Source organism: Homo sapiens, chromosome 11 (assembly GCF_000001405.40).
Source record: "Homo sapiens chromosome 11, GRCh38.p14 Primary Assembly".
Lineage (NCBI taxonomy): Eukaryota > Metazoa > Chordata > Mammalia > Primates > Hominidae > Homo > Homo sapiens.
The window spans coordinates 85,693,483-85,705,927 of NC_000011.10; the positions used below are offsets into that span (position 1 = coordinate 85,693,483).

Consider the following 12,445-nt stretch of genomic DNA (forward strand, 5'->3'; position numbering starts at 1 on the left):
AAAAAACCTGGGTTGGGAGGCCGAGGCAGGCAGATCGCAAGGTCAGGAATTCTCGAGACCAGCCTGGCCAACGTGGTAAAACCCCATCTCTACTAAAAATACAAAAATTGGCCGGGCATGGTGGTGGGCACCTGTAATCCCAGCTACTCAGGAGGCTGAGGCAGGAGAACTGCTTGAACCCGGGAAGCAGAGGTTGCAGTGAGCCGAGATCACGCCAGCGCACTCCGGCCTAGGTGACCAAGCGACACTCCATCTCAAAAAAAAAAAAAAAAAGACCTGAGGAGACAATGGAAAGGGCATTGACCTAGATTAGTCACTCTTATTGACAAGTGGGTAGAACGTTCTAGTATCTGTTCAGGAAGAACAGGCAAGCATTCTAGTTGTTTTCAATGACATTTATGAGATGCTTGTTGTAAGATCCCATGTTCGCCTGTCACTCAGGCTTTCTTGAACCTACATTAAATCAGTGCTTGTTTTCAGAAAATTAAGCTGGTTGGGTCCTAAGGGAGAGTAATGTGCTTCATATACTAAAATCATCCCCAAAGCATTTTAACTACTTAAAAAAAAATAAAAATCCTTGAGATCTGCTATGTCCTTTAAAACAAAATAAATAAAAATAAAAATCCTACTCTTAATAACATAGCCAAAGTTGCCCACTTAGGGGAGATGATGCCCAGAATTGCAGTGAAGACTGCAGAAACATTAGCCCAGAAGAAGTTCATTAGCCTTGTTAGGAAATTTAGATGTTTAGAATTCCTAAAATATTTTATTTAAAATGAGAAGTCACGCTAATTTTCTAATACAATTTAAATCAAATGATAATTTATTCTAAGGGTTTTTACAAAATACGAAAATTTTACATACATAAGAAGAACAGTATAACTGAGCAACTTACATTCTAATTAAAACTTTGTTGCAAAACATGTTTGTGACTACTCTTATGCTGCTTTCATATAGTAAAGTTATAAGAAAAACAATCATATATATGCAGGGTTTTAAAAAAATAAACTCATAAAAATACAGGCTTGAGACCTATTTTAGAATTAAGTCAAAACAAGCCAACAACTGAATTGTACCTATGGCCAGTGGGTGGCACTAAAATACATTTGAGGCTTGTTTTAACTGTTTGTTTTCTCAAGGCAGAAAAACACCAGTAGTTTCAGTCTCATTGCCCTAATATGGAATTCCATATTTTATTAGAGATTACAGAGTAAATAGTTTCTTAAGGTCCATTTTTTTTTTTATCATCACTGATGTCTGTCTCCATTCCCTGCTCCACTTTGAGTATCTTTCTGCGACTTTTTCCCACAACCTACAAAGGTCCTGCAAGGGTACCAGACCCTCTTAACTGTGGCACAGAATTGTGGTGTGAAACACATGATGGCAAACAAGAACATTTTGCTTCTTAACAATACCCCATGTTTAATGCTCTGGGGCAGCTTTTTCTTTGAAGCAGCAGCAGAAATTCAATTTTCCTAGCTTGTTCAAATATCTTATTTAATATTAGAGTCACAAATTACACATTTTGTTATATTTAAATCCCTTGGGCCTTGTAATCAAAGAAGCACATGCAGATTGACTTTTACATGCTGTGTAGTATTCCTTAGGTGCAATAGATAGAAAGTGAGGATATTTGTCCACCTACTCAGATTTTCAAGATCAGATTCCACCGGTTTAGTAGTTTTCAGTGGAGGAGCCAGTGGAATTTGGGCTCATTTGGAAATCTTGGCAATCAAAAGCATTCTGAGAGGCAGTGTTGCTTCAATCCAAGTATTGGGGGAGTTTACCATCTTCTCCCAGAGAGCAACTTCCTCTGAAGTAGAGTCCATCCAGTCCACTTCAGTCCCATAACTTTTACCTGAAAAAAGGAAGCTTTGCATTTAGAAAGAAACAGCTCATTGGGGGTAGGGGAAAGAGGGAAAGTTATTCCCTAATTATAACCACCAGTGGAAGCTAGGAGGAGCTTTCTTCACTGGGAGGGCAGATGTGAGACTCAACATAAGGAAGAACTGTTCAATTGTCTGAGTGACTTCATGTTTGTAATCATTACCATAATTCCTAGAGCAATGATTTTTCTTCAAGTTAATGTAAAGGCCAGATGAAAATTCATCAGGGAATAAGGGAGTTGGGAGGACTCCTGCACTGGGTTGGAGATGACACTAGATAATCTCTAGGTTAGTGTGACTAAGGCTTTAGTGTCTAACAGACTCAATTTTGAATCTTGGCTCTGCCACTTTGTAGCTATGTTACTTACTTTCTTGGACTATCAGTTCCTTTGGGGTAACATTAGTAACTACCTCATAGACTTGTGAGGATTCAATGAAATAATGTAAATGAAGCATTTAATACAGTGACTGGTGCTCCAAAAATGTTATTGTTATTACTCAAAGCATATATTTAGCCTTGAAGGACCATAAATGTTTTTGCAGGGCAGACTAGTGATGAAGGCTTTTCTGTCCCTGCCACTGCCACAATAACTTAAACTCTATATGCAGAGACACTTCACCCTGTTAATCCTCATATCTGGAGCCCTTGGCATACAACCTGACATTTCTTTACTCATTTATTTCACTATACTTAAGAGATATCTGTTTTCAGGATATCTCGGTTTTCACTGGGAAGAAGCAAAGCAACAAACAAACCTCTAGTATCTCTAGAAAAATTTGGCTCATGGAGAATTAAAAATGTAGCAAACAGTACCTGTTCCAAAGCCAATACGAAGACCTCCCAAAAATTGGTTGGTTAATTTGTAATGGTCCCAGACAGTAAGCTCTACACAGGCTTCCATCAGATCTTCAGGCCTGAACCCATCATACACCATAGTGTGGTTGAAGATAGGGTTGGTGGTTTTCCCTACAGCTCTTGTCTTCTGGCGACTTTTCCTACTTGTATCTGGAAGGATGGTACTACAAAAAGAGGCATGATTGTGGGAGCATTTTAGTAAGATAGTGAACATTCATGCTTTCAATACATAACAACACAGCTATTAAAGATTGACAATGGAGGAAAAGATGTGGAGAGATAGTGGTGGTGGTGGTTTGGCAGACAGTGGGGTAGGGGGTAGGAACACATCATGCTGAAAAGACTCTGGACCTAGAGTCAGCTATACTTGGTTTGAATCCTGACTCTGCTACCTCCTGGGTATGCATTTTAGGGAAAGTTACTCAACCTTACGGACACTTGCTTCTTCATCTATAAAATGGGAATGGTGATGCTGATTTCATAAGGCTAAAATTAGAATTAAATAACATATGCAAAACACTTAGCTCCATGCCTGCATTTAGTAAGTGCTTAATATGCTAGTAATCATTTGAGGATTCCTTTAAAATTTGCAAGCACAGGCTATCCTGATTAGCTGTGATAGCCTAAGACATTTGTGTTATACAGAATAGAAAAAGAAGAGAAACCTCTCCAAATTGCTAGATTTGACTTTGGAAATAAATTATGTAATTTTTTTTTTACAATCACTTACATTTCATTTATGATAACAATTAAATGAACTTTAACCTACCATGCCTCTTGTAAGTGGCAATATAAGACAATACAAGTGGCAACACAAGGCAAGAAGGTCTGTGAATGGTCTCAGAATGTGACTGACTGACTTGGTCTTAGAATGAGGCTGACTTGAGCCAAAAAAATCTTACCAGCTGACATCTATAAAGATAATGTGTAGGGAAAATCATAAATAATATCATCTATGCTACTTAGATATATGTCACATATATATTTATTTATTTAATAGAGAAGGGGTTTGGCTATGTTGACCAGGCTGGTCTTGAACTCCTGGGCTCCAGTGATCCGTCCGCCTTGGCCTCCCAAAGTGCTGGAATTATAGGCGTGAGACACCTCGCTGTACCAGATATATGTCACATATATTTAAAAAGCTACAGTTGGTCTTCTGGTAGACTATATATAAATAAAATTAGAGAAACTAGGAGAGCATACTAATATCTGTTTAGTTATTATTTACTAGATGCCAGTCACTTTATATGTATAACAGAGAGAAGAGTTTGCCACTTAAAAACCCAAACTGTCTCAAGCTCTTAGTAAGGGTTGATTAGCAAATCATTTTCCAAATATCTGCAGTCTCATACAATGACCGTTTGCAAATAGGCCACAAAACAGGTGGGACAAAGGAGAGAAGGAATTCTCCCTGCTCCATAAAGGAGTCAAGGGGTGTGACATCTTACCATTAGAAATTTAATAAACTCTTTTGAACTGATTATTGCCCTCACCAACAGATGTTTTCCCTAGAACACATTACACATTGAGTATGAGGTCTCTAGTTTCATTTGACCTCTTACTTTATGATTTTAAAGCCAAATGAAGCCTTGAGAGTTCATGATATAGATTCCTCCAATTCATGTCTCCATTATCCCAAGTAAATTCATTTAAATTATGAATGATGAGTCAGTATTACAGATATAGAGAACCGAAACTAACCAGCAAAGACCAGGCTACAGAACTGTTGCAGACAGAGTCATCAATACTATTACCATTTAACAAAAGAATTTAGATGACTTCCCCTTAGCAGTGGTAGATCAAGGCATTCCTTCACCCAGATGTGCACTTCTCCAGTTGTAGGAAGCTTTTTACCTACAATAGAAAAAGAAGAGAAAATTTTCACTGCCAGTTCTCCCTTGGCAATACTGCGTCCAAAGATGTCAGCCTAAAAATGTTCTGGCATGGAGATACTAGCTAGTATTTGATGATATCATCTGAACTGATTAAATCTATACAGTCTTAACTAAGTCTTCATAATCTGGTTTTACTGAACTCGATAGCTCTATAAAAATAATTCATATTGGCTTTAAGTACCAAGTATTACATCATTAGCACATCATTCATTTGGGGTTTTGCTTGATTCAACAAAATCAAACACCAGGAATGTGAATCATCCATTTACAGTTATATTCAAAACATTTCAATGAAATGCATATACCTTGCAAACATTAATACCAGTATCAGTTGGTGCTAGTGGAAGACATTTAAAACATATTTGGGTATAAAGTAACCAAAACAGGTATTGGCTAAGGTATAGTCATTTTTAAGAGTAGTTATACTTTTTTTTTTGAGACAGGGTCTCACTCTGTCACCCAGGTTGGAGTTCAGTGGCACAATCATGGCTCACTGCAGCCTCAACCTCCTGGGCTCAAGTGATCCTCCTACCTCAGCCCTCCCAGAGGAGCTGCAACTACAGGCATGTGCCACCACACTTGGCTAATTTTTAAATTTTTGTAGAGACAGAGTTTCGTCATGTTGCCCAGGCTTGTCTTGAACTCTTAAGCTCAAGGGATCCACCAGCCTCAGCCTCCTAAAGTGTTGGGATTACAGGCGTGAGCCACCACCCCCAGTCAAGAGTGGTTAAACATTTTATAGGGATACTGTATGTACATACGTAATAGTTAATATTATGGGCAGATAGTTACTAAGAAGTTGGCTTAGTCTGAAATTGTTGTCTAGGCTGGGTTCATACGAACAGAGGAATGCCACCAGATTTTTCTGAATGGGTTAGCTCAATCAGTCAACCAAACAGTACTTAGTGAGGATCTATCATAAGCTCATCTCTATGCTATGCTAGGAACATCATTAGATATACAGAGAATACATGAAATAATCTATGCCCTTGGGAAATGTTTATAGTTATGTTGGAGAGAATAATTCAAATAAAATGATAAAAATGTAATATACAGTGAAACTCCAAGTTATTACTGTAATGTTCTAGAAGATGATATGATCAGTGAGATCTAATATAGTTAGGGAAAGCTTTATGGAGGAGATGGGGCTTCATCTAAGACTTTGGTAGGTTGAGGAGAAGAGGAAGCCATTTCAAAGAAGAAAAACTACGTGGACAAAAATTCAGACATGGTGGCACCCATCACAACACACAATACCCCTGCCCTCTACTACCAAGTGATAGAAGGAAAAAGGGAAATGGGATTTCTATGAATGTTGACTTTAAATGATAGGATACAAATTATATGCAAAAGAATCTACCTTTTAGGAAAATCCAGAAGTTCAAAGGTGGCAGTCTGACAGCAATCCAGCCTGAAAATATGCTTTACTTGCCCTCTAATTCTTTCTTTTTTGGGGGGCGGGGGGCGGTATAAACTACATCAGAATGCTTTTCTTTAGTTCAGTCACTATCCTCACCATCAATTATTTCTTCCATCTCACTAGCTTCACTGCCTGGTTACTGAAAGCATTTGAGTTTACAACCTCTGATTTCAGCCATAACATTCATACAGATTCTTAAAGAGACTAACTTGGGGAACTTGCTTGGGAAATGGAGCAAGGAGCTGGCTGGCATTCATTTCCTGCTAGTCTCTTGCTCCTTAACTGGGCTGAAGACCTGACAAGGAGGCAATTAATAATCTTGAGGGAAAAGCTTTATCTCTTAATGAGACCCTGAGAGTGGAGGGTGAATGAGCTTTAAGTTCTCTGGAGTCCTCTTAATTCCCACCTGTGAAAAAGAACACTCAGGTTCTATTCTTATAGCACTATCAATAAGTCCAAATTCCAAACACAGGAATACACAAATTCTGAATACAGGCCATTCACATTGTGCAGATACAAATTTTTGGAGAGTGAGGTGAAACCTAATGACTATAAACTAAACTAAAAAAAAAAATGAGAACTTTCTTATAGAAACAGAAAGTAAAATGATGATTACCAGAAGCTGGTAGTAGAGGAAAAGGAAATTGTTGGTTAATAGATAAACAGGTTCAGATTTGCAAGATGAAAAGGTTCTGGAGATCTGTTTCCCAACAGTGTGAATATACTTAGCACTACTAAGCTGTACAGTTAAAAATGGTGAAGATGGTAGATTTTATGTTTTCTTTTTTTTTTTTTTTTGCCACAATAACAAAAAAAGAATTTTCTTATTTACAACTGTGAATAGACTCATTTGGTCTATACGTTACTAACTTGATAAGTTTCTTTAGGGCCTCACCTTTGAAAACGCATAGTAAATACTGTGAGAAGGGAGGGATAAGGAAAGGACATAAATCTGAATAGAAAGTCATTACATACCAGGGACTGGCTCTGGGACATACTGGAGAGCTAGTTTCATTTCACCTCTGTTTTCTGCTTCAAGGGCAACTGGTGCTGTCTGAAAAGTGAAGAAATGTCAGCAGGTGGGAGACAAACTTTTCATCCTGTTTGTTGGTATAGGTCTCATTACAGAACCATATCTGTCCCATTTCTGGGACCATGTGTCACTCATGAGTGCTCTGGATTAAAATTTCTCTCTGCATCAGAACTAGACTGTTGCCTTAATACCTGGGAAAACTAGGTTGTATATCTTGAAAAATCTTGCAGGATACCCAGAAAATATTTCAAGGCCTTTAGTCTCAAAGATGGTGAAGAAACCAGAATGGCTTTCTTGGAGATGGGAGAGGTTTCTTTGAATGCTTTAATTTTGATCAAAACACAAATATTTTGTTAGCTATTCAGCCAGCATATAAAACAATTTATTTGTATTCCCTTTATTTGAAGGAGTATGAGATAGTGTGTGAAAGTAAGGGGGGAAAGGCCATATCTTACATTTTCAAAGCTGCACTAATCTGATTATTTTAGGCCAAATGCATAGAAGTCTGTAAGTATAACAAAGACTGAACAATAATTTTTTAAACTTCTATCTGTTATTTTCAAGTACACGTTGAATATTCCTTATCTGAAATGCTTGGGATCAGAAAAGTTTCAGATTTCGGATTTGTTTTTTGAAATTCGTAATATTTGCATATACGTAATGAGATATCTTAGGGATGGGACCCAAGTCTAAACACAAAATTCATTTATGTTTCATATACATCTTCTACACATAGCCTGAAGGTAATTTTATATAACATTTTTAATAACTTTATGCAACCCATCACATGAAGCAGGTGTGGAATTTTCCACTTACGGCATCATATCGGCACTCAAAAAGTTTCAGATTTTGGAGCATTATGGATTTGAAATTTTTGAATTAGGGATGCTAAACCTGTATAAGAAACCTGCATAAGATAGTTTTTTACTTTCAAATTCTGGCTCTTTAGAGCTTTATTTTCAAAATATGGGTATGTATCAGAAACGTAATGGTAGCCAGTTAAAAATGAGATGCTTTTGATATCTTCTGAGGAGTTCAGGTCTTGGGTAGGGCTAGAAATAAGTGCTTCAAGTGATTTTGATATAACATTTGAGAACCATTTCTTTAGTGGAACTAAAACAGTTCCACTGTTGTGTAGACACTAAGTTATGGTTTGTATTAGTTATTTATATTTATCACTTCCTACTATGATGGACTAGCTTGGATCACATCAACCCCTAAACTAATAACAATTTAAAAGGTGGGATTTTAAATATCAGTTTGAAAGTGCTAAAGAATTATTAACACAGACAGGACTCAAATGAACAAGATCTTAGAGTCTGACATTCTTCTCTGCTTTTCACTTTGAGACATTTAAGTAGTGCCAAACTGAGCACATAAAAAGCCTAACAGAATGAGACTGAAAAGGTAAGCAGGACTTTTAGCAGTTTCATGAGGCTGGGGAGACAAAACTTGGAGCCCACGGCCTGTCAAGAAGGAATGGCACTGGAAAAACACTCTAGACCAGTGGTTTTCAAAGTACCGTTTCTAGGTCAGCTGCATTGACAGGGAACCTGTTAAAAATGTATATTCTTGGGCCCGTAAACCTTGGGAATAGGGCTCAGAATCTAGTGGGTCTATTTTTTTTTTTTTTTTGAGACAGGGTCTCGCTTTGTTGCCCACACTGGAGTGCAATGGCGTGATCTCAGTTCATTGCAACCACCACCTCCTGGGTTCAAGTGATCCTCCCATTTCAGCCTCTTGAGTAGCTGGGGCTATAGGTGCATGCCACCAAGCCTGGTTAATTTCTTTGCAAAGGCAGGGTTTTGCCACGTTCCTCAGGCTTGTCTCCATCCAACTCCTGGACTCAAGCAATCCACACCTCAGCCTCCCAAAGTGCTGGGATTAAAGCTGAGAGCCACCGCACCCAGCCCCAGAATCTGTGATTTAATAAGTCCTTCAGGTGAATCAGATGCATGCTGATTTTGAGAACTATTTCCCATGGCTTTCAGTTGGAACCTCTGAAGGGCCTTAGCCTAGGAATATAAGCAAACAAAAACTAGACCAGATCACATGAAAACTGGGCTTGTGCTTCAAAGTCAGTTTATTCCCAGATTAAATGAAGGTGGTCTGTGCCTGCTGTATCAGAAGCAAAAGTAAATCCTCCCCAATTATTCCTAGAACGTTCTCATATGCAATACCCCACATATGATCAAAAAATGAACGGGCATACCAAGACAAAGAACTAAGTGTCCAAACTAAGATTTTAAAAAATAGATAAGCAGGACTCACAAATGTTTAAGATACTGGAATTTTTAAGTACATACATTAAATAACTTTGCATGCTATATTTTTAAAGACAATGTTAAGATAGAGAATTTTAGGAGAGAAATGGAATCAAAATAGTCAAAAGAAAATATGCTTTCGAAAATATAAGCTTTATATTATAGATTGGCTTAAATTGTAGATGGTTTTAACAACAGAATAGACATAGCAGATAAAATTGTTGAATTGTGAAAAGGTTAGCAAAACATGGACTGAAATATAAGAAAAAAAGTATACAGAAAAGACCATAAGAGACATGTTGGACAGAATAAAAAGGTATAACATACTTGTAATTGGAGTTTCCAGAAGGAGAGGAGAAAATAGTGGGGCAAAAGTAATATTTGAAGAAATAGTTGCTGAGAAATTTTCAAAGTGATGAAAGATACCAAAACATAGATAGATTCAAGCAGCTCACTGAACCCCAAACCTCAGGATAAATTAAAGAAAACTACACCTAGGCTCATTATAGTACAATTGCTAAAAATCAAAGACAAAGAAAAGTATCCTAAAATCTGGAAAAGAACACATAACCTTCAAAGGAGCAAAAATAAGACTAACAGCTGACTTCACAACAGAAATGACCAAATACTATGAAATGACATCTTCAAAACACTGAAAGAAATAATTGTCAACCTAGCAACAGAGCAAAAATATCCCTCCAAGATTGAAAAAGATGTTATGATACCAAGAAAATCTGAAATAATCTGTTGCCAGGAGATATTCACTAAGAGTAAAACTAAAGGAGAGTCTTGAACAGAAGAAACAACTCCACGGATAAATCCAGGAAAGGATAAAGAGCAAGGGAAAGGCAAATATGTGGTTAAATCTAAATTAATAGACCGTATAAAACAATAACGGTAATGTCTTATGGGACTTAAAAATATATACAATTAAAACATGACCAAAAATAGCACAAAGGATGAGAGAATGGGTAAATGGAGTTAAAATGTTCTTGGTTCCTTCCACTGTTCTGAAAGTGGCAAAAGTTCTAATTTATATTACAGTTTGAATTCAAGGGTGCATATTATAATCTCTACAGGAACTAATAAAGAAAAATGAAAATAAACTATGACTGACATATTAAGAGAGAGAAAAAATGGAATAATAATCCCAAAGGAGGCAATTACGAAAATAAGAAAACAGGACAAATAGTAAGATACTAGATTTGGACCCAAATACATCAATATTTATATTAAGTGCAAATGGACTAGATAATCCAATTAAGAGACAAATATTTTAAGACTGGAAAAACATCAAAACTATTGCTTATAAAAATATATCTGAACTATAAGAATTTTAAAAGGCTGAAAATCAAAAGATAGAAACAAACTTCTAATCAAAAGGAAGCTAATAGAGCTATATAAATACAGGCAAAGTAGATTTTAAGGCAATAAGCATTACTAGAGATAAAAAGGGAATTTCAAAATGATAAAATGGTTAATTCATCAAGAAAATATAACAATTACAGTTGTATGTATATGTAATAAGACAATCTCAAATATAGTGAATCAAAAATAATAAAACTAAAAGGAGAAAAAGACAAATTCACAATTGTAACTCTCCTAGTAATTCACAGTACACACAGACATAAAACCCATGAGGATATAAAAGATTTCAGGAACTAGTTTTGACTTAATTGATAAATATAGAACATTACATCCTTTAATCATTGAATACACTTTGGTCTCAAGTAACACATGGAACATTTATCAAAATTCAGCCAAATATTAGGCTAAAAGTCAGTATCAAATTTCAAAGGACTGAATTATTTAAAAGACCTTCCTGAAGTCTCTGAAACATTTGTGTTAAATGATTTAAACATGTTCCCAATAACCTTTTTTACCTTTCTTTTTTTTCCTCTAGTTTAAAATTCTCCCAAACTACAGATCTGTACTCTGAATTAAATGCAATTAAGCTTTTTCCTATACACTAGGTACCACATCAACCAACCAAATAAACAAACAAAAAATTCCGGACTCACCTTCCGCTTCAGAGGGTACCATCTCAATTGTTTATTCTGTTTGTTATCCCAGTCCCATGTTTCCAAATCAAGTTCCACCTCCCCTAGGAAACTATTGCGCTTAAATGTATCCCGATGCCAAATGGACAGGTTCAATTTCTGTGTCTTTAAGATTTGTTTTTCAATTTTATACTGAAGTTCAAAGAAGAAAATTAAATGATGAAAAACATTACTTGATGCCAAAGTTATAACACAGAGATGAAGAGAAATTCATCTGTATATAGCAAATTTTCTTATCTGTTAGGTTTCGAGTCCCAAAAATATTGCAAAGTCATCTTATTCTAAGCATCTTGTTTCAAAGAGCTAAAATCCATCTTTCATAAAAGCTGATTTGCTTCCCCACTCTGGAAAAGCAAACCAAGGCTCAGATATCATAGTTGGTAATAGCTCTCTAACAATAAAAGCCAGTTTTTCAATTTTCGCTGAATATTTTTAGACTAGATGTAATACAAAATTGAGTCTAAAATACAAATCAAATGTAACCGAATTCTCTGTTTTCTACTTAAGAACAAGGTCTTTTTTAAAATAGTCTTTTTAGAGCAGTTTTCGGTTTACAGCAAAACTGAGCAGAAAGAACAGAGTTCCCATATGCCATGTATGCTGCCACATACACACACCTCCCCCACTATCAACATCCCACACAGATGAGGTATTTAAAATAAATAAATAAATAAACTTGTCTTTTCCTGCTGCATATGGCCAAGTAGAAAAGGTCTGGCATCCTAACAGTTTTTCATCTCAAATGTAGTCAATCTTTAATTACATATAATCATGGAAAGGACAATAGTACTTCTAATCTAAAAATAATTTCCATTTGGCTTCATGATGTACTACTTGAATGTCCACTGTGGTTGTAGTAAGTCTGCCTTTCTCTGAGCTTAACATTTAAATTATCTGGCTTTTCCTGAGTATAGGGTTGAAGTAGCTGACCCAGAAATAGCCAGGGTACTAGGGTATATCATAGTCAAACTGTAATTAAAAACTTGGTACAAAAATTCTACAGGTGGTTAATTCAGACCATGGATGACTGA

The 12,445-nt window shown here is 36.4% G+C and overlaps 1 protein-coding gene across 71 annotated transcripts in view; it reads right to left on the reverse strand.

Moving 5' to 3' along the window:
• SYTL2 (synaptotagmin like 2) overlaps positions 747–12,445 on the reverse strand; it is a 160,642-nt gene continuing 148,943 nt past the window's right edge. For 57 of the 71 annotated variants that reach the window (NM_001394468.1, NM_001394462.1, NM_001394458.1 and 54 more), the window contains 5 exons: positions 11,376–11,546; positions 7,033–7,111; positions 4,497–4,596; positions 2,701–2,906; positions 747–1,858 (listed from right to left, as the gene is read on the reverse strand). In NM_001394468.1, the coding sequence (NP_001381397.1) occupies positions 1,713–1,858; positions 2,701–2,906; positions 4,497–4,596; positions 7,033–7,111; positions 11,376–11,546 (702 nt within the window). In that variant the 3' untranslated portion in view covers positions 747–1,712. The remainder of the gene's footprint in view (positions 1,859–2,700; positions 2,907–4,496; positions 4,597–7,032; positions 7,112–11,375; positions 11,547–12,445) is intronic. The other 14 variants (NM_001394471.1, NM_001394472.1, XM_047427174.1 and 11 more) reach the window with 1 other exon arrangement.